The following is a 27,640-nucleotide window of genomic DNA, read 5'->3' as shown; positions in this document are numbered from 1 at the left end:
GACCCTGTTTGCCTGGGTATCACCAGCGGAGGCTGCAGAACAGCAAATATTGCAGAAGGGCAAATGTTGTTGCCTGATCCTTCCTCTAGAAGCTTCGTCTCAGAGGGGCACCCAGCTGTATGAGGTGTCAGTGGGCCCCTACTGGGAGGTGTCTCCCAGTTAGGCTACTTGGGGGTCAGGGACCCACTAGAGGAGGCAGTCTGTCCGTTCTCAGATCTCAAACTCCATGCTGGTTGAACCACTACTCTCTTCAAACCCATCAGACAAGGAGGTTTAAGTCTGCAGAAGTTTCTGCTCCCTTTTGTTCAGCTATGCCCTGCCCCCAGAGGTGGAGTCTGCAGAGACAGGCAGGCCTCCTTGAGCTGTGGTGGGCTCCATCCAGTTCGAGCTTCCTGGCTGCTTTGTTTACCTACTGAAGCCTCGGCAATGGCAGATGCCCCTCCCTCAGCCTCGCTGCTGCCTTGCAGTTTGATCTCAGACTGCTGTGCTAACAATGAGTGAGGCTCTGTGGGTGTGGGACCCTCGGAGCCATGCACGGGATATAATCTCCTGGTGTGCCGTTTGCTAAGACCATTGGAAAAGCACATTATTAGGGTCAGAGTATCCCGATTTTCCAGGTACCTTCTGTCACGGCTTCCTTTGCTAGGAGAGGCACATTTGTTCTCAAAGAGTAATTCCAGCATCAGCATCATCCAAGAACTTGTTAGAAATGCACATTCTCAGGCCCTTCCCAGAACTACTGGACCAGAAACTCCACACGTGGGTCCAGCAATCAGTGTTTTAATTAGCTCACCAGGTGATTCTGATGTGCACTTAAGTTTGATAACCGCTTGTCTAGTGTAAGGATATTGTTACATTTTTAACATCTTTTTTGAGATACAATTCACATGTACTTACCAGACTATAACACCCACCCATTTAAAGTGTTTTGTGTAGACTGTAGAATGTGATGTTTCAGAAGAAAATAGAGATTATGTGATTACTTATAACTTTGCCTACAACAATGTTGTAACAAGGATTTAGTCTTGAAGGTTGAATTATTATATTACATAGACATTGTTCATAATTAGAAATTAATTCTAAATCATGGGGCATTATTTGGGGTTGAAATAAGTCTATTTTCAGAAAATTATACATTTGATATTCATGTGATCATGAGACTCTTCCCAGAGAGGGTGGTGCTCTACACTCTTGGGGGAAAGGAATGCTAATATCATGAAGCTTCCCAAAAATCCAAGAGAACTGGGTTCAGATAGCTTCCAGATAGCTGAACACATGAAGGTTCCTGGAGGGCAGTGCACCCAGGGAGTGCATGGAAGCTCCGTATCCCTTCCCTTATACCTCACCCCACACATCTCTTCATCTGTATTATTTGTAATACCTTTATAATAAACTAGTGAACATATTATAGGGTACAATGCAGTAGTTTTTAGTATATTGACAGAGTTGTACACCTATCACTACAATAATTTTAGTACCTGTTCAGCACTCCTAAATGAAACCCCATTTCCATTACCAGTGTCTCCCCAAATGCCATCCCCCCAGCCCTTGGAAACCACTAGGTTTGCCTCATCTGGACATTGCATATAAATAGATTTATACAATTCGTGGTCTTTTGTGAATGCTCTCTTTCATTTAGCATAACATTTTCCAGGTGCATCCATGTTGTCAGACATTTTTTATTCCTCTGTAAAGTTCCCTCTTTGTGAGTATTCTGTGCAGTCATTCCCAGAGTATTAACATTCAGCTAATGAATGATTCCCTACAACAAAACAGGGGCATATGTGCATATGTGTTTGTCTGGGGTGGGGCGATGTGTGATTGTATTTGTACATGTGGGCTTTAATTTTGTAGTTTCCTTTTTGTAGAGACTACTAAAAAGCTCAGGGCCAATTTTGTGATTCATCTACTTCAGATGTATAGCATTCTTTAATAGGCTTTCACTATGTATGTGTGTGTGTGTGTGTGTGTGTGTGTGTGTTGGCCTCATTCTTAACTCCATTTTATGACATTACTCTTGCACTTACTGTTTCTTTCTCACTTTTTATTCCTGATATCTTACTGAATTTGATGTATCAATGTAAACTGCCTTAAATTCTTTTTGAAACATGGCAGGGTGTAAATACTTAAATAACAATAAAATCACATAAACTATTCACTATATCCTATACTCAAGACTCTTCCTAAATTTACTCTTAGCAGCCTTCAATACAAGCTGAAAATACTAAATTTTTTAAAACTGCAAAATATCTGTTTTCTTACATCTGAATTTGTGTGTTTTCAAAATGATGTCTGTTTTCTCAACTATTTGAGAAAATTGTGCCATTATATTTATTATATGCTTTAGAGTTTTCAAATCACTTTGACTGTTCTTTTGTTTTTGAAAATAGAAATACAATAGTTGTCATCTTTTGTTCAGTTTTGTTTCATAATTTAATTTTATAACATAAATTCACAGAATTTTATAACACTAATAGTTTTATTTGATTTTGTGCTAAAGATTTTTTCTATTGAAGAAAATAGACTAGAACAAAAGTGAGAAAAAGACATATTAGAGCTGTCAAGATATATTATTTTTGCCAGAAAAAAAGGGAAAAATGCCTTCCACTTCACAAGAATGAACCAATTTTATAGCAGCTGCTCTTGAAATAGATTTATTGAAAACTCCTAGTATCTGTAGTTGCCATTAAAAAAAATCTTTCATATAACAAACATCTCATATGCATATGTTCAAGGTACATACTGTTAAGTATTACTTGGTCATAAAGTTAAATGGCAACCGAGACCACTGTGTAGACCTACCATGGGTTCAGCTTGACCACATGAGAAACATCTGGTTGACAGACTGTGGAAGCCCACATTCCAACAAGCATTTGATGAGTTTCATCTTTTTTTCCTCTGTGGTTTGACTACATACATACAATTTTATTGTGTATGTTAATAACTTAAAAGCTGCTAATGTATCATGTGGTTCCTGAACAGAGAATTGAGCTGATTTTTGATACACTAAATAATAAAAGATTTGATGTTTCAGAAGAAAATAGCCATTATAACTTTGCTGTACAACAATGTTGTAGCAAGGATTTAGTCTTGAAGGTTGAATTATTATAGTACACAGAAATTGTACATAATTAGAAATTAATTCTAAATCATGGGACATTATTTGGGGTTGAAATAAGTCTATTTTCAGAAAATTATACATTTGATATTCATGTAGTCAGTTATAACCTTCCATTATGCAATCCTTAAAGTTAGTTTATAAATTAAAATTTCACCACAGAGGTTATGATTTCAGACCATAATGGAAAGTGGAAACTCTGTTGCATTTCTATTTATGGCAAGGTAAAAGAAAGTCACATTTCTTTGCAGTATGCTTTATTTAGTTTTTTCATAAATATTTTTATGGGTATTTTGCTATCTTTGCCCACATCCCCTGAATAACAAAAGTACACTAATAACCTTGGCACTAGTGCTAAGATGAAAGGAAGATGAAAAATATCCCATTTTTTAAAAAGCCTTAGGGATTTTAGGATGTCAGCATACTAGTACTAGGGAAAATAAATTTATGTGTATATATTTTTAAAATTTTGAGCTCAATTTTAAATTTAGTAGTTGCCCTTTGAATAGCTTTATCTCCAACCAAATGTTAAAATGGTATTAGCATGTTTTGTCAATATGTTTCTGAACATATTTTCTTCTGGAGTTTGAAATGGAAGCAAAATTTCAATTTAATTTATCACAGTCAAGGAAAAAACAAACTAAAAGAGTCTTGGAAGAATCTGGACTTGTGTGTGTGGAGGACTAGAAGAGAAAAAGAAGCTTTTTAATTCATTTAGGGTCTGACGAGGTAAAAAGCATGTGTGAACTTCCCTCTCTAATTCTCATGGCTTGGGCTCCTGGGCAGGGTGGATAGTATGGGTCTTCAGTCAGGCAGGGCATTCTTTTCCCTACAAAGGTAGGCTTTCTGTTCAGGCAGATCATGTGGACTGTTTCCACCAGCAGCTAAGAAAGAAAGTTGCTACAAGGTAAGTAGTCAGCACTCCTCATAGATATTGACTTCTCCTCTAAGGAAAATGCTCAGCAATCTGATATTTTTGCCACATCCCTGCAAAAAATAAATGTTGAATCAACATTCTTACATATAAAAGAAGGCTTTGGCATCTTTATCCTTGTATAGCTTTATGTCTCCATTGGAACCAATAAATCTAAATTCAAGGTTCAGTATTTCAACGTTAAACAAAAATTATATTGAAGTGCCTACGAAAGTGTAGTTAACATATTTCCCCATTTCTTTTGGAATATGTACCTGAGGTCTATACATATGTGTTTCTGTTGGATCAGTGTTGAAAGGCAAACTAGGTATCTTCTGGTCCAGAACTTCACAGTGTCTTATGTTAAGGAGTATATTCATCTAAAAAAGTTTTTTTGTGTTTGTTTGTCTGTTTGTTTGTTTGTTTGTTTGTTTGTTTGTTTTTGCGGGGGGACGGAGTCTTGCTGTGTCATCCAGGCTGGAGTGCAGTGGTGCCATCTTGGCTCACTGCAACCTCCGCCTCCCAGGTTCAAGTGATTCTCCTGCCTCAGCCCCCCAAGTAGCTGGGACTACAGGTGCGCACCGCCATGCCCAGCTAATTTTTGTATTTTTAATAGAGACAGGATTTCACCATGTTGACCAGTATGATCTTGATCTCTTGACCTCAGGTGATCCACCCGCCTCAGCCTCCCAAAGTGCTGCTGGGATTACAGGCATGAGCCACCACACCCAGCCTAATAAAGTAATTATTTTTTAATCTGGATATTGTTCTTTATACTAGCCCTTCAGTTGAGTTTTGTGGTAGATTTTTCAACTGAAGACTCTGCACCTTGAATCTAATATGAAAGCTCTGTGATTCTCCCTGGTATGATGGTGTGATGGTGTGGTGCTGTGATGATGGTGTGGTGCTGTGATGATGATGTGGTGGTGTAATAGTGTGATGGTGGGCAAGAGCAGACACACTGGATGCCATAGGATGTTCCCTTGGTGCGCCTGAACTGATTCCACTGCAAGGAGATATGCTTTTCTGAGTACTTTATACAGAATTACTAGAGCAAGCTTAGATCTCTGTGTTTGAGGAAATAGTCTAACTAAAGTCATTTCAAAGAATCACTTTTGTTTGACAAAATGAATTTAGCATACTTGCAAGACTTGTGATCCAAATAAAGTAACTGAAATTGAAGAGTAAATTGGAATGAATTTTTTCATATTACTTTTACTTGCTTTGGAGACCAAAGTTACAGATATATATATATATATATATATATATATATATATATATATATATATATATATATATGTGTGTGTGTGTGTGTGTGTACATATATATATGTATATATGTACATATATGCATTTATATATGACATTTTATATTTTCTATATTAATATATCATGCTATATATTGTATTTAGAACATACAATATATAAAAATTCTTTAAATGCTTTTTGCTTAAATCTAATTTGATCATGTTTATAAACCTCATTTTCATTCAAATGACCCAATCGTTGTGACTCCTGAGATATATGTGTATTCTTATGCTATCTTTTCAGCCACTAAATTTAATATTAATTTTAAAATTCCAACATTTGTGTATCTCATTAAAATAAGACAAATTGAGAAAAGAATAGGTGTAAATTAACTGTTCCCAAATATGTCAGACTATATACTTTGCTTTTTATTTTCATGGGGTAATAAAATGTCACAAGTTTTTGGTAACAGAATAAAATGTTTGTTTACACATTAATTGTTATTCTCTTAAAAGTCAATTTTCAAACTCCTTCATTTCTATGTACTTGTAACTTTTTTTGCTAATGGTATTTTAAGACTGCAGCATTTGGAAAGGACCTTGGAGATTACCTAGTGACCCTGCCAAGTAAGGCAGGGATTCTTTTTACAACATCACTGACAGATTGTCAGCTAACCTTTACTTGCACATGTACGGTAGCAGGGAGTTTGCTACTTTGGGTATCAACCCATTCCATTTTTGGACAGCTATATGATTTATAAAACTTATCTTCTTGTTAAGCTGAAATCTGTTAACCCATAACTTCCAATTATTGATCCATTCACCTGCCTGGATCAACCATCACCTTCCTTAGGTCAGCCTGTCAAATATTGGAATACGGTTTCTGTGTTCTGCTTAATTTTTAAACTCCCTTTAAGATGTGAAAGTCGGTCCAACTCCTGCTCTTCCTGAAAGATATTGCTACCATTTCTCAATGCAGTCTTCATTTTAATACTCTTTATAAGTAATTACGAGCAAAATCAAATACCATGTTCTAAATTTAATATGAAGAACACAGAGTAAAATAAGGCAAATGTCTGCCTGTTTTCCCTTTTTCCTTCCAGTTGTACAGTGCTTACTAAGTATCAAGCACTTTTCTAACTACTTTACAGATATTAATTGCTCTAATTCTAATGCCTGAGACCCCTTGGCCAGGGTAGGTGGTATGGACTCCAGACAGGCAGGGTGTTATCTGTGAATTAAATCTTCTAACTTGTGGATTAACTCCATGGATTTTTAACCTACGGATTAAGTCTTAAAATCAAGAAACAGCCACAGACGGGTTAAAAGACATGCAAAAGGCCTTACAGCTAAGACGTGGTGGAACCAGGCCCTCTTACTCTGAGTCCTAGTTTCCAAGAGCCTAGGCTGATAAATTTACATTCATTTCTTTATTCCTGGATCCATAAAATGCATGACCTTTTTAAAGGAACTTTGTCTCACTGTGTAATAAATTTAAAACTGTAGTCCTTTGTGGTATATATTGTCATCTAGCAAGGTTTCTCCTGAGTTTTTCTGGGGTACTTGATACTGTACAATGAAATATAAATGAATACATTTTTATTCTAATTGGCTCTAGGCATCAAGTAAGAATGGTGGCCTAAATGAGCATTATATATTTCCTGTGCTTTAAGAAATGGGGCTGAGTTTTTTGGTAGGATATACTTATACCCAATGATAGCTAATTAATAAATGGTTTTGGGCTCTGCAACCAAACACTTATAGAAATAAGTAAATAAATTTTTAAAGTAGAAATCCCATGGGGCAGTTTCACTGGGCAGGGTGAGATTCCTGCATTGAAAAATCGTGAAAGGTGCAAAACCAAAAATCAGTCACGTATGTATAGCAAGTAGCCATTCTATAACTAATTTGTGGTTAATTCTTGAGTTAAGCCAGACCACAAAATCTTGACTAAAATCTTGAAGTAGGTAATTTAACTTGGTTCAAATTCACTTGAGTTTCCTACTAAGTAGCACGATGCTGTCAAAGGGAACAGAATACCAGTAAATAGTTGTAGTTACCCAGAACCAGCTTGTCTTCAAGAAGATCCACCCAGAGTACAGAATTGGAAAGTGAACTGGCATGTCAGTCCTGAGCTAGCTATATGTTATGCCATCGGTAGAATGGAGCCATGTCTCAAGGGTCTACCTACTGCCCCAAAATGCTTTAGAGCCTATGTAGGCTGACCTTGGTTGATTTAGTTGACTATGAGTTGCTTCTTCCAAAAATATGTTATTTTATTCTGGGTTATTATTCCACTAGGCCAGAATCCATATACCATAAGGAGTATAAGGTTCTGGACACTCTCTTTTATCAAACAAGTAAGCAATTTTTGAGTGCATATTATTTACCAAGCACAGTGCTTTGCATTGAAGATGCATATATGAATATGTTGTGTTCCTTCTCATGAAAAACCTCAGAATCTACTGAGAGAGAATCACATACAGATACATGATGATAGATTAAGTCTTTTAGGGTATTAAGTACGAACTACTTAATGGAAACAGAATTTCTGCTTTTGGAAACAGAAATAAGGGAGTGATTAGGCAAGTAGGAGGCCTAAGAAAAGTATGGGGCACTGTCAGGGGCTACAGGGAGAAAGTGAACTTTAAGCTGGTATTATTACCGGATAGGTAAGTTTAAGAAAGAACACCCTCCACCCACAGGAGACATTGATGATTCTTATTTTTGAAAAGTTATTGCTTACTCTAGAAATGTCACCATGTTTTGCTAGATGCCTATGACTGGGTTGTATTGACAATAAATATTAAAAGTCGATTACTTTATCAAGTTATGTTCTCTGACAAAGTAATGACCTTAAGAAAAACTAGAAAAGTGACTAAATATCCAGGTTTATAAGCCCTTATCTCCTCCACAAACATATTGATTGGGTTTTTAGGTGATTTCTGACCTGCCTGCACTTTTCTGCTTTATAGTTTATCAGATGGCAGCAGGCAAGACTATATTTGGGTGAGAAATCTGTAAAACGAAAACATAATCTTTCTCATTATTTTCAATTTTAGTTGTGACCACCTCTCAATTGTTGTAAACACTATCACTGTTCAACCCAATCTCAATCCTTTATTCTTAGAAATAGGGAAAACTGTATTAGAACTAGACATCTTACAACAGATAATAAGTTGATTTTGTCCAAGAATCCTCCTCAATAGGTTTTTAATATTGGATTAAAAATTGGCAGTGACATTTAAAATATTACTTCTGAAAAGTAGAATTTTTAGTTTCCTATTTTGTTTTTAAAAGTCTTGAACCCTTCCCATTTCTGAGTATTTCATAAGTGTTAAATGGTATATGAGAGTGGTATATGAATTCTGCAGTGCCTTAAACGTAATATTGAACTGGAGAGCGTGTGGTCTCTTGTACTACTGTGTGCTTTTGGAATAGACAACAGAGGACCTGAAATTGCTTCCTCAAAGTTACTTTCAGGGAAAAAGAAAAAATCAAGCACAATCTGAGAAATAATGGCACAGTAATATTGTGCTGTGTATTTTAAAACGATTTTTGAAAATGAGGAGCTGTTTTTATTTGAGTGAGTCCAAGACACCAGAATTAGTCCTCAATTTCAAGGCTTTATAATAATATGATCTGATGAAAATGTCAAATCAGTATAAAATATCAAATAATGATTACCCTCAATTTAAATATTGTGATCATAAGCTTCTGAAATTTACTAAGATATAATGTATTTATTTATGGAGTAACTAGGATTTGCATGGCCCAAATACAGGATACTGTTAGAGAGAACAGCACTTAGTTCCCCTAGAGGATCTTGACTTGTATGGTATTTTTACATATGATTCTTTAGTATATGGCACATTAGGTAGATAAAATATGTTCTTTGCCCTAAGCTAACTCCGGTATAGTAGGGGAGGCAAGAAATACAAAATGGCGAAAATGCAAGGCTACATGCTGTGAATGCCATCTGGTTGAATCCAGAAAGTGCAATACATGCTCACAGGAGGAAGCTGACACCCTATGATGCTTTCTTTGCCTGAAGCATTTGAGTTGGGTCTTAAGGAATAGTAGATATAGCTATATAGATAGATAAAATTTTTGCTAAATTGTAGGCACTGTAGATTCTAGAAATGTTTAATAAGCAGAATGGGCACTACACAAAGAGGTAACGGATATGCAGAAAGTTTTAAGGAGTAAAAAAGCAAATTTTGATATAATTTTAGCATGAATAGTTCAAGAAAATAGAATAGTACCAGTTCTGGATTTTGTGCCTTCATTGTTTGCCTGTGAATATGTGAGAATATCCATAATCTTTATACACAGGCAAATGAGAAATAGGCTAAACTATTTCTTGTTTAGCCTGTAGGTCTTTGTTAATGTTCATACCAATACCAGCTGACCTCTTAATTTCAAGTCCAACACTGGGAGTGTATATGTCAAACTATCTTTTAAAATACCTACTTAGAATTTATCTTTTTTTAATCATAAATGAACATAGATAAATTCAGCTTTATTCTCGCATTCCATCACTAACCAATACTGAGGAGGAAGAATAACAAAAATTATGTTAAGAGGCAGCCAATAAAGAACTTGATTATAGGTTACGTTTCTGTAACTTTAGAGTGAAATAAACAGATAAAATACTGCAGAAAGGAAAGGCTTATGAGTGATTTTTAACATACTATTAAAATGGAATATTTATTGTTACAAAAGATCATGTGAAATGTGCTACTACATTTCCTAATTTTTGATTTGTGTGATGAGATATTTATATGTTCCCATCTTCTCCCAATGTAATTACTTCCATGGTGCCTATCTTTCTGGAATATGTGTACGCTGCCATCACAAACAGTACCATACTCTAAAATTTAAAAGAAAACTTGTCTCCTTAGCATTTAGCACAAATGACCTCTCAACCATGTGTGGTTCACAGATGAAGGGTGAAAACTCGCTAATCAGAGCCTTCAGAGTTCCCAAGCAACCAGGACAAGAGACAAGGTATATTTGAGTTGTAAAATGCAGCTCAAAAGTTGGTGTCTCCCTAATTTACTCTTTTCACTAGTATTGCTCAGATTCCCGAAGGCAACTAGAGGACAGTAGACCTCTAAGCTAATGAATGTACCCTATTATCACCATGGACATCAAGTATTAATGTTATCAACACTTTGTAGATTTAGATTTTCCATTTTAGCACTTGAGGCTGTTCATTTCCTTGTAAAATATGTGTGTGTTTTTAGGCTTAGCTGCTTCCAGATATTTTCGGCACTTTGTTACCAACCAAAACATCTGACAAGTAGCTTCTTTCTGAGGCCTCAATCTTATGTTGTTCTGGGAATCAAAAGTCCTTGAGGCTGACTTTTTTCATGTTCCTATCACTTACTTCATTAGTGAGATTAAATGTTTCCAGGTACCACAACACCTTGTTATATTTATATAGCCTCTGTTACATAAACCAATGTGCCTAATTCCCTAATCAAAGGTTTCCCTGAAAGTTTAGCATTCAGAAAAGGGAGACAACTGAATATCTTATCTTCTGTAGCTTGAATTCCTTTTTAAGTCAGATTTACTTAAGGTAGCAATGTTTAGAGAGTTCAAGCCTCTCTCACATAAAAGAAAATATTTCAAACTCAGCCTATTCAAATACTAATTTCTTTTGTTTTTGCTGTCTTGGTTTGGTTAAAGCAGGGGTTCCCAACCCCCTGGTATCAGGTCTGTGGCCTGTTAAGAACCAGGTCACACAGCAGGAGGTGAACAGTGGGTGAGCCAGCAAAGCTTCATCTGTATTTACAGCCACAATCTGAGCTCTGCCTTCCGTCAGATCAACACAGACGTTCGATTCTCATAGGAACTCAAACCCTATTACAAACTGCACATGCGAGGAATCTAGGCTACGTGCTCCTTATGAAAATCTAATGCCTGATGATCTGTCACTGTCTCCCATCACCCCCAGATGTGACCATCTAGTTGCAGGAAAACAAGCTCAGGGCTGTCACTGATTCCACATTGTGGTGAGTTGTATAATTATTTTATTATATATCACAATGTAATAGAAATAAAGTACACAATAAATGTAATACACTTGAATCATCCCTAAACCATCGCCCCCACCCCCAGGTCAGTGGAAAAATGGTCTTCCATGAAACCAGTTCCTGGTGCCAAAAAGTGTGGGGACTGCTGTGTTAAAGGATCCTTCTAATATTCCATGAACACAATTTTCTGTACAAAAAAAAAAGATTTAGTAGAAAATTAAATAAGATTATATAATGTTGAACAAATGCTTTTAAAACACTTAAGATTTAACCACTTTATGATTACTTATCCTGATGCCCTAGGATATGACATAGCTATCAAAGTCCTTTGAGTTAACTCAAACATCTGCTTAATTTCACTTTTGTAGTAATTTTAAGAATGTAATGAAAGTTATCTAATTTTAAAGTGCATATAAGAATCAGATAAACAATAGGAAAAAACTTCCCTATTTGACAATGACCTGCTTTACTTTATGAATTGGGGATAGATGATTATATTTACCATAGCTTATTCTGCGTAAGTTTGAAGTCCATCTGTACCTCAGATTCATGTGAATCACTATAAATGACAAGAATGAGTTCAGTGTTTCCATCTCTTTTCAGGTGGTGCATGTTAGAAATCAGTGATTATCATTATTAATTAATAAACCATTAATAGTGGTTTATTTAACCATCAAACTTTAATGTATCACACTATTGAAAAGCGTGTTCTTGGTTGTTTTCTCCATGCCGATCAGTTCCATAGTTAGTATTACTTTGGAATTATAAGTGCACAAAGTAGGTCCACAAAAAAATTATTAAAATAGTGACTTAACATCAGGAATCTTGAAGTTTCAAACTAGTAAGTAAGTGGAGTCTAACATACACACATGCACACACAAACATATACACATGTATATACCTGGCCACTCTTATCTCTTAGTAGGCAATCTTTAGTGAATGATTATAGTTGAAATTGACTGATTTTAAAGCAGCCATGCAAGCTGAGTGGAACACATCATTCTGAATAAGTTAACACAGATATAGAGACTTTCATCTATTCTTCTCTTACAGACAGTACATAATAAAGATTAACTGTCCCTTATGTGTATTGTTATCTCCATCTCCCAAATACTCGATGCCCAACAATGCCATTAGCTGTCAGTGGATGTATTTAAGCATGATATAGGAATCTTTTGTGACTATCCAGTCTCCTATAAGCATAGCACTGGTCTTAGCAATTGATCAGAAAATATTAAAATAAATGTTGTAGATCCAGTCCAGTCAATCAGATACCCACAATTAAGTCAGTTCACAAGAAAAAAAAATGGGACCCTCTGGACTGTCTTTGGAATTATCTCACTTTTATATTATTGTGTGTGTGTATGTGGTGAACTATCTGAAATGCTGTTTTCAGCTCCAATGGCAATCATTCTCCCTATCACCATGAAGCATCTTTTTCTAAGCAGCACAATAAGGATAACAAAACCCATTTCAGTCTCAATTTAAGTTTAATTCCCAGGTGGAACTTGAAATGAGGCTGTAATGAACTTGAACTTGCAGCAGCGATTATCTCATACATGCACATAAAAGTGTTCAGATACAGTAGTGGTGTTTCCAGATGCTAAAGTCACTTCTTCAGAAACAGGTTAAAAAAAAAAAATAGGGTGTTGTGGTTGGGCATATTGTTGCATTGAGCGTGGGGCAGCCAGCCAGGTTTTGTTTTATTTTACTTTATACTTAACAGAGGTTGACAGAGCAGCATACAGTATGATCAGAGAATTTTTTAAATGACCTGTATAAAAATATTTCCTTCAGAAGTTTCCGAGTGAATGTATAAAACAGCAATGTTATCCAAAGACAATACATGAAGGTGAGGGTCGATTAGAATTATAAAATAAAAAACAGAGCAGATCTCCCCAGTGTCCTAAGAATTGCCTAAAACCATTTGGGCTTTTAAGAAAATGAACTCGTTCCTTTAGCTGTCCTATTTTATTCTAAAACACTAAATTATATTTTGTGAGCAAGAATGATATATTCAAGTGCAAATAGCTTAGGCCTGAAGTGGATTAGAGAATGGTCACTGGAGTCTATGTCACCGATAAAAATCAGCCCAAGAAATCAAGGAATACCTGAATCGGGGTTCTTATTGTAACATTCTTGCTTTCTGGTAGAGGTTAGCAATTAGCACCTTACTACCCTCCCACAATTTTCTAGGTCTAGGTTATCATTCATGGTTTCTTGGAGAAAAATTGGGAGATTCAGGTTAATATTGAGTGAAACACTCCGGCATATCTAAAGTAAAGTATTTTCTGAGAAAGTGGGCCATGACTACAGGTACAATTGTAACTTTTATCTGTGTGGAAATGTGGTAGCCATACTTGGGACCTAGGACTAAGTCAGGATGACAATTTTTCCCAGCAGAACAATGATACTAGTACCAATATCACCAGTGTTTATAAAATACATGTTTCCTTTCTGTTAATGATACAATGTTACCATCCACTTAATGTTTTTGGTAGATCCAGCCTCACCACCATCTCTCTTCAGGTTCTCTCTCCTCATTGCCTTCTGGAAGCCTTGCCTTTGTGTTAGCTTTCCAAATTCATATTTCAAAATACATATCTGATCTGTGTACCAGCTGCTTAAGAGCAGTTCAGTGGCCTGTCACATGGTTCTCCATCTCCCTCTCCTTTCCCTTCTCCACAATTTTTGTCCTCCCAGCCAACCCTCCAGGTCCTTGAAGTCACTGTCCTTTTCACACGCAGTCCCTGTTGGCCGTGTCCTTTCCCCTTCTCTGCCTAATAAACTCCGACATCTCTGTGAAGTCTCTCCCAGACAATACCTCTTCTGTGGTGGTTCATTGTTCCTTTGTCTATGCTTGAATGTCACTGTACAGACATTCATCATGAGATTGATGTTTTAATATTGATTTGGGTATCATTTCCCCCTTTAGTCTTTGAGCCCTGAAGGCTGGAACTTTATCTTTCAGGCATCTAGTACAGTGCCTGGTACATGATGAATGAAGAGTTAGAAATTAAGAGGTAGAATTCGACAAGCAAATATAGAATTGCTGAAGTAGAATAGACTGTGGGCTTATAGAGAGTACCTAGGCCAATTGTCCCAAATACCATTTTAGTAAGTCAAGTTTAAGTAAGTACACACCACTAGTCAGTGAGAGCACCAAGCTCAGAACTCACTTCCCCAGTGTGTCCTGCTACTGTTTTTTCTTTGCATAAATATGGTTCCCATTTGCCAAATCCCATCATTTTTAATGCCCAAATGGGAAAAAAGGCTTACATCTCATCAACAAAGTTCTTACCCTTGTTAAAAAGCTCTAAAATGACTATACAAAAATCTGGGGGAAATTATTTGTACATGTCTTGTCTGTTGGAAATGCTTTATGTCTGTAAGTGTTTCCAAAAGTGTAATATACAATACTTATTTAGCACAGCAAAATTGATGTCATGTTTTTTAGAAATACATCTGAAGAATAATAAACACGGTTTAACACAAAAGAATATGGGTTATACTTCAGGTAGCAATTTTTGGGCAAATTTTAAGTAATTCTTAGGGAATAAATAAGCTAGTTTAATAAAAAGAGCAATAGCATTTCTCTTTAGAAATCATTAGGCATGTTAATTTATTCTACATCTAATCTCTTTAATTTTCATTATCTAATTTATAATACATGGAGTATTTAAAGTTATTAAAGGTATAAATATTTGGACAATTTGTGAGGTCATTTTGTAAATAGTTGAAAGGTATTTAAATATAATGGTAGTCTGATAAAAATAGTTTATTCTTGATCAAAAAAGACCTGAGTGTTGGTTCTAAGGAAGTCAGAACATTTTATTTCAGTCTAATGTGTCATTTTATACTTTTTGCAAAGTAAAACCATCAAAGAAAAATGAAGAGATGAGAACGGTGTTATTACCTTTACTTATAACTATAAGGAATCCACATTGCTTTCTTGTAATGAGAGGTTCTGGACCCACAGATTTGTAGGAGAACCCTAGATTTTATCCTTTACCAAGTGAAAAGAAACTGAAACATTTATTTAGGTTAAAAATCAAAACAAAATGATATCTAAATGTATGCACACAAGAATAATACACTTTCGTAAGAATTATTTAGACAGTTGAATTAATTTTCTACTTAGCTTTGTGACCCATCACGATTGTGGTATGTGGATATCAATTTAGGTAAATGGTTTATTTTCTAATTAGTTGGTGGCTTTAAATGTCTTTTAAAACCCTTGTAGAGCAACGCTGATGTTAAATGTGTGTACCAAGAGAAAATTATTTTTAATCTATATCTCCTTCGAATATCACAACATACATTATATGTAAGACTTTTTTATGTATTTACAGTAAAGTGAATAAAAAATAGATGTACATTTCAAAAACATAATTATAAAGCAAAAACCGATGAAACCACCACCCAAGTCCAAGAAATAGCATGTTGCTAGCTCCCAGAAGTCTCACTTAGATATTAAAGTCTTAGGAAAACTCTACCATAAAAGAACTTAACTTTTGTTAACCCAGCATCTAGTATTCTATAACAATACTTACGGAATACTGTATAGGAAAGTCTGTCTTAGAAAACTAGGCAATTTAAGCACTATGAATTTTAGCCAGTAGATGATAAAGTAAAGGTATTATGTTCAAAACAATGTTTAATGAAAGTATTCAATGTGTTCTTGGCTGTAGTATCTTTTTGAGGATTAATGTTCTTTTATAAATATGTGCTTGTTTGTGGAGGAATAGAGGGAGAAGAGAGAAACCTATATATTTATTTTAACTTATACAAATATGCAACTTCTCTAGTTTACATATCTCAACACAGAGGAACATGTATTATACTCAATCAGGTAGCAATTTCTAGAGAAATTTTAAAAAATTCCTAGGGAATAAATAAGTTTGGAAGTCATTATGTATGTTAATAATTTATTCTGCAGATAATCTCTTTAATAATTATCTGTATGTAATTAAATCTATGGGTTCCTCATCAGCTGATGGGTGGTTGGTTGTATCTGTGGACCCAGAGGGCTGGCTGTAAGAGACTTGAGCATCTCCAGATTTTGTTATCCATGGTGGTCCATCCTGGAGCCAATCCACCTGTAGGTACCAAGGGATGATGGTATTTAACATATGCCAGACATGCTAAAGAAAGATTCTGTACATGTTCATGTTTGTTTGTGTGTATACAAATTTATCATCCCTATTTTAAATATTACAAAACGAATATTTACCAAAGTATAGCTCATCTAAATAGCACAGGTAGGAAGAGAATAAGCCCGATTCAGACCTAGGATTGTCTGAGTCCCCACTAAATAAGCACTACATTATAAGCCTGTATATAATGGAGTTGAGAATCCCATAATATATATAGAATCACTATGTGCTGTGTACAGTGCTATCTACTGAAAATTTCTAAAAACCTGATATTTATAGAATTATAAGAATCCACTAGCTAATAATCTTTTTTGTTTTTAATTATTCTTTTCATTGAAATACTTCTTATTAGAAAAATGTTAAAGTAATGAGGCAGCTAATTCTTCTTTTACCAGAATGACATCCTTTTGGTTACAATCCCCTAAAACAAAAGGATAAGAAACCTGGTAAATTTTAGCTACAGATTTCTACATAAGCATGTTTTAGATAACTATTAGATTAAGTTTGGAATCTCATTTGTACTAAGTCAATTCTTCCCTATCCCCTAGCCAACTTCTTGGCAGCAGTTTTCAGTGAATTATTTGCTTGTATTTAGAAAAAATGAATTCAAAAAATAAAATAAAACTATTTGAGCCATGTGATGCGGGAGCCTAACAATAGTAATTAATTCATCACCTGATGAAAAGTCATAAAATCAGCTTCCAACATCATCAATGGTATTTTACGTGGATAAGAACATAGGCCTTTAGTTGATTGTTTTGTGATTTTGAGTAATGAGATATGGTGTCTGAATTGCCTTTCATATTTCTTTCTACTTTGTATTTTAATGTATCTTACAAATTGCCATTTATTAATTTTGTCACAAAATGAATTTCTGCTTATTGATAGATTCATCTTTCTGGAAAGAAATACATTTAGTGCCCACCACATAATGACAAAACTCACATTTTAGTCAAGTGTATCTATTGTACCAAGTCTTGAGTACCAATCATAGATTATATGGTTAGTTTTATTTCTTATATTTCTTCATTCTTTTTTTCTTCCTACAGAATTTGACATACACAACATATACTTCTTGATGCAGTCACAACTACTTATTATTGTTGCTTTTTTAAATCTATTTTCTTCCTATCCCTTTACAGTTTTACTTCCAAACCACCAGTCCGCTTAACCTATACAGTCATAGATAACTACTTGCTTGTCAAAGCCATTGATGTAAAAAACAACCTTATTTGTATTAGATTTCTATTTCTCAGCTTGAGTCATAAATAGACCTCTTTAAGGAAAAGTAATTATTACATAACTTCTTTCAGGCATAAATTTTCTTTATTATGTTTCTTGTAGATATACAAACATAAAACCAGACATAAACTTCCTATGTCTTTAGTTTTCATGCAACTATAAGCCAAAACAAATGTACAAATTTACATAGAACAAAACCAACAAACTTTGAACTAGCAGAATTCATATACTTTGACATGATACTCTTTTGCTGAAAGTAAAATACATGTAACAACAGGTCAGATTGCCTGTTTTCTGTGCTATATGATGATAGGATTCTTCCATTACATTCTTCCATTACATTTTTTTTAATTACTGTAAAAATGCTTTCTGGTAACGTGTGCTATAATGTTGGTTTGCTGGCCAAAACTTCCAAAACTTCATGAGTGCAGTAAGCCAGCTTCTCTTATTCTGTCACTGCCCATGGTGATAGCATCTCAAAGTTGTTGACAATGTAATTGTAAACAATGATGTAAGTCTTAATTACTAGTCTGTTGCCCAAAATTCTGCCATTTCTTCCCCCTCGATGTGTCCTTTGGCATTGATATGTTCTGCCACCCTGGTCCTATTTTATTTGCCTCACACCTTGATTATTTCAATATTCTTTGCAATAATCTCACTGGCTTTTCTGCTTCCAACTGCTCTGCTTCAATCTACCATGCACAGTATTTTCAAGCTAATATTTTAAATCCAAGTATATCATGTATAATACTATGATCTTGCAATAGCTTTTCTTTAACCAGCTCTCAAGCTGCTTTTGCCTCTGCTGGTTGCCCACCTCATCTGCTCATCCCTTTATCAGAGCACACCTCTCTGTTGCTCTCCCCCACTTATCGTTCACCCTTAGTTCACATAAATACCTGCCCCCTCCAACTCATATAGCAAACATGTAACACACAAACATAACAAACCCTTGCCTCTCTTTATTTCTTTTTCTCTCTTTTTTAATGTTGTCATCTTTCACCAGATGCCCTTCTTCCATCCTTCCATGTAAATCCTTCTGGGACAATAGGTATGAACTGGGGACATCACAAGTCACCCTAAGCCTAAGCCCACTCTGATAACTGTTTAGGTTCAGAACATATATTTCATTTACAGAGAATACTACCTATTACTCTCCAATTATGCTGAGTGTTGAGCTGTCCTACATATTCTGTAAGGCCATGTGTGCAAGTACTATAATCTGCAGTTTCTCGTGCAATGGAGAATGTAGGAAAAAAGTATAGCACAGTTGTTAAGAGCACAGACTTAGGTGTCAGAAGGAACTGGATTCAAATTCTATATCTCTACTTCATGTTACCAGTGAGAGTTTGGACATAGTACCTAATATCTCTGAGTTTTCCAATTTGCAGAATGGATCTTTGTACCTACCTCACAGGAGTGGTATGAAAGCTAAAGGTGACCACTGGGGTGAGGTGATCAGCATTTGTGAAATAGTCAGTGCTTAATACATAGGAACTTTTATGATTGACTTTTTATGAATTTAGTTGATGCTTTTGAATAAGTGTTAATTTCCTTTCTTCTTTATCCTGGAATTCTTAGTGGCTTATAAGTTGGTGCAACAGCAGCCACAGTGGCAGGTTGAGAAAGGCTAATTTCATCCCATAATTATCTAGGAAAAGGAAGGAAAATACCATGGGGATTGCTGGGAAATAGAGAGATTTTTGTTTCATATCTGTGCTATCTTTCTTTGTCTCTGCTCCCTTGCAATCCCTGGGAGTATTTCTGCACAGGAATGTCTCAAGATATATAAAACCTGAAAAGTATGAAACCAACTCTTTCCTCTCTGTTACAGATGGGGGATGAGAGGAGAGATTCTGCTTTATTTTGTGGGAGCCGAAGAGTATCATTAATCTAATTGTTCTGCACATAATCTCTACTCTACACCCCATGGAGTACTAATGAGATCTCGGTCCTTCTCTGGAGGCCTCTGCTTTCTCATCTGAAAAATGAAGGGGTTGGACCAGGTGATCTCTAAGGGTGCCTTCTAAATTTAACAGTCTGAGTTGAAGAAAAGCTTTGAGCAATTTAGCAGAAGCCTAAACAAAAAAGTCAGGGAAAAAATACCCTTTTTCCAAGCTCTGTGTCTTCGTGTCTTATTCAATTGAACAGAATAGTCGATATAAAATGTCATTTCTGACTGATGTGCAACAAAGCACAAACCAAATGGATAGAAAAAAACTGGTGCCCTTAGAATTCTCTTGGCTCTCCTAGAATAAAACTACTGAAACACTCTTTATTTCTATCAAAAAAGTTAACTCTGAGCAAATTACCACTGTTGGCTCCAAGTGATATTTTGTACTCTCCCTAATAGCCATCTTCTTGACAAACAACACAGCCATTTCAAGCATTATTGCAGAGAATCGTTGCAAGTGTCAGAAATGATGGCTCTGTTAGACCCAGTCTGATTATCTGCTTCAGTGTAGTTATAAAAAGAGAGAGAGAGAGGAGAAAGGAAAAAAATGTATCTGAGATAAAATACTGTCTCCTCAGTCTTGGAGTTTTTAATTGCTGCCTCTGTCTATAAGCCTTGTAAGGTGAGCTCTCTAAGATACTAATTCACTCACTCCCATCTTTTTAATACATGGTGTCTCGTTCATTTCCTCCTCTTGCTTTACTCCAGACCTTTATGACTTTTCACTGGGACCACTGCAGTAGTCACTTAATTCCCTTTTCTCCAGTCCTTTATCTTCCAATCTACTTTCCACATTCCCATCAAAGAGTAGTTTCCTAAAGTTCAAAAATAGTCATGTCCCTCCCCAGTACATACAGAGTAATTTTAAAATTACCTAGAATTTAGGGGCCTCTGCCATTTCAGGATCCATCAGCTTTTCCTACCTTATTCCCTCCTCTTTCTTTTCACTCTAGCCTCTACTCAGTTTGGATTATTCACAGTCCCTGCATATGTCTTTAGTTTTTCCTAATACCTTTGTTCATGCTGTTCTTTCCTTCTCCTGAGTTGATTACCCGCCTCCTTCAACTGTACTACATTCATACATCTTTTAGGCACCAATTTGGCTTTCACAAGAACCCTTGGAGATGCCCATGAATCCCCAAGGCCAAGCTAATCCCTTTCTCCTCTGGGCCAGCACTTACTTCTGGTGCTCTCATCACTCACTGTCTTCGATTGTAGTTGATTTTAGTTTTAACAAAGGTCTAAAGCATCGTATATGCTCAACAAATATTGTTCCTAAAATTCAATTGGCATTCCAGGTCATCTTGTCAAACTTGTTCCTTAGCTTATAATAAAACTTTAAGTTGCTATAAATAACACTTTTTCTTATTATGCAATAGTTATGACTAGAGCCCAGATCTGGAAAGGTAGGGGAGCAGAGTAGTTTGGCCCTTCTCAAAGTTTGTTTTGTAGAATATTGGTTTACACATTTTTTTATTACCAATAAAAAAAGTTGCAGGGTGAAGTGTTGAAAATGCTCCTTCTTTTGCTCACCCCCTCAAAAAAGGCTTTCCCAGATCAATTTATTGAAAAAAAGTCCTCACCGCTCGCTGCTTTCAAGCCCTTTGCACTCATATTTTTCCTCAGGGCTTATTACCTAAAATAAAATGTATATTTGTTTGCTTACGGTCTGCCTTTTTGACTAGAATATAAGTTTCATGAAAATAGGAAATTTATCTCCTTTACTTTTGTATCCAGGTTACTTAAAAGCCTAGCACAATGCAGATGCTTAATTAATATCTCTTGACTAAAAAAGTAAATTAGAAATTCTGTATGAGTTTTCTAACCCAGCATTTCCCAACTTATTTAATTACACACATTTTGGGAAATATTCCATGAAGCTGTATTCCCTATTCTTAGATGAGCTGAGAGGTAAAGGTCAAAAATGGAAAGAGATTAATAAAGATTCACAGCCAAGTCTCTGTAACTTACAGTGGGACAGTACCAATTTTAAAAAAGAAAAATGCTCAATATTAGAAAAACAAGAGGAAGTAGCCATCTGGAAACTAGATGGACCTCTTTATTAACTCTAAGTAGATACTGAAGTTCTGGAAAGCCACTTGTAAGGCTTTCCCAATGACCATAATCAGAAATAGTATGTTGGATACAAAATCTAGTTCCCGGTAATTAAAAATTTTAGTTATTAGAAATTAAAAGGCCAGTACAAAGGCATTGTGGCATAATCGTTTTGACAGTCACTGGTGTTAATAAAATGTTCCTAATTAGTAGCGTTGTGTTTGTTTGTGTATATGTTCATTGGAAGGCTTTAAACCAAATTACCATGTGAAGAAGGGATCAGTTCAGGAGATGTATACACTGCATTAACATTTATATAGGTATGTACATTCTTGAGATTTTCATAACATTGGGCTTTAAAATTATATGCAAAGATGCTACTTCAAACACACTTAGCAGCACAGGTGTTCTAATATATTTTGACATTAATTGTTAGGTGCTCAGAAATTCAATTTTGGCTGTATTTTCTTACTAAAGGGCTGAGAATATATTGCAAAAATTTCTGATTGTGTCACAAAATGGAAAAGTGAATTTTCTAACTGGGTTACTTTCCTACGTTCCCTGCATCCTGTTCCTAAACACCTTTCTCTTCAGTTTCATGTTCAGATGAATGAGAGAATGCTTTGTGGTTGTGGACTCTGACTAAGGACTTTTTGATAATCAGTGAAACTTATCTATTGTATGGCTAATATCTAACCCTGAAATAACTTTTGTTCTCCTGAGAAACAACGACAAAAAGATGATGAAATATTCCATATTATTCTTGGATCTTCCCTACTTACCCCTTTCTCTGTGCCTCCAAGCATCCTCATTTCATATATCTTAAAACGGTTCCATCAATCCTATTGGCTGGGTGAGGTTCTGTGTGTTTTTTTTTCTTTCACTATCAGTGCTCTGAACACAGTAGTTTCCATAGGATAGAATGCTGCCTTCCATTTCTTCATTCATCAGCTGCTTGTAACCTAATCCCTGTTCCTAAAATTCGACTGAAAGTCACAGGCTACAAATCACAAAATCATGGAATCTGGTGACCTCGTTTCCTTTGTAGCCTCCTTGCTCCAACTGCAGCATTTGACACATACTTACTTACACAGTAAGTCTTTGAATCTGTGACTGTTTTCTATGTCACTCCTTACTATCTGCCTTCTTCTCTAGCCATACAAATGTAAGCATTCCCCCAGTTTTGCCCTCCACCCTTGTCTGTGTGATGTATTCTCTACGTGGATGATTCCATCTAATTAATCTACTTCTTGCATGAAATATAAGGAATAGATCCATGGCATAGATCCTCTCCAAACCTCCCTTTTTATTATCTATATCTAACTAACGTCATACATCAAACTTAGCATGTTTAAATATAATGTATTTTTTCTAAAACCTGAAAATAACTTTTTAAATTTTTTCTTTCTGATCTTCTATCTAAAATCTTAATTGTCTTCTACTTTTAAATTACTTCTGTTTTAGAATCTGTATCTTCCTAGTCTTTCCTCTTCATTCTCCAGTTCAAGCTCTCACTATTTCTTGCCTTTACTATTGTAGTAGCCTACTAATTGGTCTCCATGTCCCTAGTTTATTCAACTCTTGTCCCTCAGTCCTGGCTCAAGCCACCCTACTTATTCATGCTAGGTGCCATCCTACAACACAGCTAATCCCAACACTTTGCTGCTCATAAGTCTTCAGTGTTTGCCCACCCTACATCTAGAGAATGATGTCTGTGTTTGTCATCAACCACAAACATTTACAACATAGCCTCATCTCATTTTACTGAATTTCTTACAGCAAATGTTTATTTTAGAAAATGTATAAAATAGATAAGAAACAGAAAATATCCTAGCATTTAATTTTCCTTTCATTTTTTTTTTGCCTCCTCATCATTATGACCAAAGCTAGCTGTGAATCATTCCCAAATACATCTGCCATTCTTCTTTCCATGGCTTTCCATGTTATTTATACCCCTCTATCTCACCTAATTTCTAATCCTTGAAACCCTATCCGGCCTTCACTATACATCACAACATTCTGTTTCTCTAAGAAAACTTCCCTGGTATTTGAATCTTTGTAGAAGAAATGAATGATGATATATATAAAGCATTTTGAGCTGTACCTTGGAAGTTATTCCTCTCTGGTATATTTTATATTTTGCCTTTTTCATAGTCAGGTAACTGCTGTTGTTTTAAGCCATGTACATGTTATTCCAAAACTAAACCTTAAGATTCTTAAATGTATCTTATTCTCTTTCCTATGATTTGCATCATTTCCAGGAGCTGATAACATAAATTGTAGCATCATGATGTTTGCATGGTAGAGTGGAATTAAAGAGAAAAGTTAGTTAGGAAATAGAAGTGGGAAAAGAATAAAGATGGAGGAAAGAGAGAGACCCTATCCTTTTGGGGAGATGATGAATCCTCTAATACTTCCAAGGACAAAAACTTCAAATTGATTCTTTTGGAAGGTCTGACTTAAAAGAGTGAGTAGAGGTTAGTATTTGAGAATATACAACACTGGTAATGGTGGTGTTTGATGTTGAGCCAGTTCATAGTTCGCTCCATCCATTTCAGATGCAGCAAAAAAGAACAGAAGCAAGATTCTATCACTGGGAAAAGTTGGTAGCATTCAACCCTAATAGAATCGTCTGGGCGCGGTGGCTCATGCCTGTAATCCCAGCACTTTGGGAGGCCGAGGTGGGCGAATCACAAGGTCAGGAGTTTAAGACCAGCTTGACCAACATGGTAAAACCTCATCTCTACTAAAAATATAAAAATTAGCCAGTCATGAGGGCGCGTGCCTGTAATTCCAGCTACTCAGGAGGCTGAGGCAGGAGAATCGCTTGAACCCGGGAGGCGGAGGTTGCAGTGAGCTGAGATCGCATCACTGCACTCCAGCCTGGGCGACGGAGTGAGACTCTGTCTAAAAATAAATAAATAAATAAATACATACATACATACATACATACATACATACATACATACATACACACACACATAAATTGGCAGTGGAAAAGGGGGTTGAAAAACTTGAGAAACAAGTTTAAAAACAAGAGATTGTACAGAAAGAGGCTGTAGATAAACTTCCTCCTTGAGATTCAAGAGCTTCAATCTCTTGGTGATGAGCAGATGAAAAGATTTCCACTTTCCTGCAGTTGGATAAGCACCACTGCTTTTTTGACAAGCTTGGCTCCCTGTGCATAGCTAGGATACAGCTGAATTTTGATTCCATGGAAGCTCTTCGGGAAGTATTTTTACTATGCCACTAGCATTGTGCATTGGTTGCTTTGCTATGTGTCTAAATGGATATATTAGGAGTTAGTGAAACTTAATAGAGGGGCAAGCATGGTAAAAGACAGGAAAACAGCTTCTGACAGTAGGAGAACAAGTGACGGTAGATGACAGGCAGTAGTGGAGATCTTGCTGAATGGTCTGACTTGCTGATGGATGGCTATGGAGTATAGAGAATACAAAAGCATCAAGGAGGACTGAGGTGTTTAATACAGATGTCTGAAAGTGGGTGAGTGTCATTTCCTGTGATAGAAAGAAAGGGAAGAGCTGATCTGAGGTGGCAGCAGAGTAAGCAGGACTTAAATTATGTTTTAGCCTTGTTACCTAACATGTCTGTTAGACAGCTAAGTGGAGATGCAGTACATGTGTCTGTAATGCAGCATCAAATGACATTAAAGTCTGGAACTGTTTGTTTGAACTAAATAAAATATATGTAAAACAAAGGATGCTGTGCTGAATCCTGAGGCATTTCAATATTAGAGAAAAAAGAGCCAGAACTGAGCAATGGCAAGGTACTCACTGTCTATGTAAGAACTGAGATTTGGCACAGGAAGAGAAACAAAAGGGATATTATTATTAGTAGTAGTAGTATTATTTGAGATGGAGTTTTGCTCTTGTTGCCCAGGCTGGAGTGCAATGACCTGATCTCGGCTCACTGCAACCTCCGCCTCCCAGGTTCAAGTGATTCTCTTGCCTCAGCCTCCTGAGTAGCTGTGATTACAGGTGCCCGCCACCAAGCCCAGCTAATTTTTGTATTTTTAGTAGAGGCGGGGTTTCACCAGGTTGGTCAGGCTGGTCTCAAACTCCTGACCTCAGGTGATCTGCCCACCTCAGCCTCCCAAAGTGCTGGGATTACAGGCATAAGCCACCGTACCTGGCAAAAGGGATATTAAATTTTTTATTTATTTATTTTTACTATTGAGCACGTTCTGAGTACCTTTACATAATTCTCACAATAATCCTATGGTATGGATGTTAACCTTCTCATTTTAAGGGGAAGAACTTCAGACTTAATGGAGTTAGATAATAGGGAGATGAGCTAATTTTTTTTCGTGTTACTCATATCCTAATTTTTTTATTATTGATTTCTGCTAAATTTCCCAGGCTACTTTCAGAACTTAGGCTATAATCTAAGGTACATGTGGACTTTTATTTTTATTTGGGAGCTAAGAGCAGCCCTGGAGTCAGACTGCCTTCTCAGCTAGGTTTCTTGCTTCACAAGGGAAGCCAGGTGTCGTGATGAATTTACCTCCTATTCTCTGACTAGTGCTTATCAAGAATAGAATCAGAAGGCTTAGACAGTAATTTTACGTGTTAATGTCCTCTTAACTGGGAATTAAAGTTATCCCAGACTCCAGGAGAATGACAAACTAGAGCAGTGAAACATGATTGTTCACATTTTAAAGTACCTTAGCAACAAACACACCTACAGAATGTTTAAGACACTAGTCTCCTTCCTTTTATCTGACTGTTATTTTCAAGCAATTAAAACTAAGTCATCTTGTTAGAGTTTCTGTACAGAGAAAAGCATAATTACATGGTATTGGAACCAGAAAACGAGTTCTAGATCTATATCTATTTACCTATTTCTTTGTAGAAATCCCCTATTTATCTTTCTACTAACTAAGATATGTCAGATATGTATTTTTGTTGTTTCATTTCTTTCAAAAATTTTTCTTTCAACAAGCTTCATTGCATATTTCAGCTCCTATCTAGCAAAGTGGGTGGAAAGTCAATCTCTATTATTTTACGCTCTCCTCCAGCCACAAGTCTTCCCTTGCACTGAGCTTTGAGACTTTTCTGTATCAGTCATTAGCCACTGATGTGCCCATTTCCTATACATTACGGTACTATCACACCTTTTCATTTCACTTTATCCAAGCCTAACTCAATACAGGAGAATCTTTGGGGAAGCTGACTAACGACCAAGGGTCAGCCATGCATCCTGCAGCATCCCCTGCTATTGGGCTCCCTCACCAGGCAAGTGAACAACGAACAAGGCTTCACCCTCCTGGACAAACACTGCCCCTTGTCTTCTCTCCTGTCACTGCTGTATCTGTGTTTGTCTCTCCCTCTCCTTCCTCCCTCCTCTTCTTCCCCCACTTCTCCCTTCTTTTTCTTTTCTGTTTCTCTTTCTCTCTCTACCCTAAAAGATCCTTTTATTCTGTATTACCCCCCCAACCCGCAATGGAAACTTCAAATTTTCTGTCATGAATAAAGGATAAATTAATTTAGTTCAGGCAGCTATTGCTTCCAGTACTGCTAAAATTCCCTTGGGCACACATTTTAAACAATAGCCTAAAAAAGTAAGAAGAAAAAAAAACAGCAAAATAAAAATTGATATATCAAAAATTTTCCATCTTACATATATTTAAATACAGTGATCATATCACATATTAGCATTCTTTTATGCAAACAAAACTAACCTTAAACACTTCACAAGATTTTTTTTTCTTGGTCCTTTAATCATTTGTGATATTTCTCTGTAGACTTGATCCAAATATTTTCCTTTCTAAAATTCAAAGATCAAAACTGGAATCAGTTATTTGAAATGATTTAATGGAAGCAATTATACTCTCAACTCATTATGTCTCTCTTTCATTTTTCCTTTTTTTTTTAATAAAGCACTTTTTAAAATTT

General features: G+C 36.0%; 1 protein-coding gene across 59 annotated transcripts in view; it reads left to right on the top strand.

Annotated features, from left to right (window-relative positions):
- The window catches only part of INPP4B (inositol polyphosphate-4-phosphatase type II B), an 823,376-nt gene that overhangs the window by 779,320 nt on the left and 16,416 nt on the right, over window positions 1-27,640 (top strand). The window contains exon 21 of one of the 59 annotated variants that reach the window (NM_001385380.1): window positions 11,240-11,297. The exons of the other annotated variants lie outside the window; for them this stretch is intronic. Within the exon in view, the coding sequence (NP_001372309.1) occupies window positions 11,240-11,285 (46 nt within the window). The 3' untranslated portion in view covers window positions 11,286-11,297. The remainder of the gene's footprint in view (window positions 1-11,239; window positions 11,298-27,640) is intronic. 59 annotated transcript variants of the gene reach the window in all.

This window comes from Homo sapiens, chromosome 4 (assembly GCF_000001405.40).
Source record: "Homo sapiens chromosome 4, GRCh38.p14 Primary Assembly".
In the NCBI taxonomy this organism is placed as follows: Eukaryota; Metazoa; Chordata; class Mammalia; order Primates; family Hominidae; genus Homo; species Homo sapiens.
Note: the sequence above shows the minus strand (reverse complement) of the source record. Positions and strands in the feature narration are given on the sequence as shown.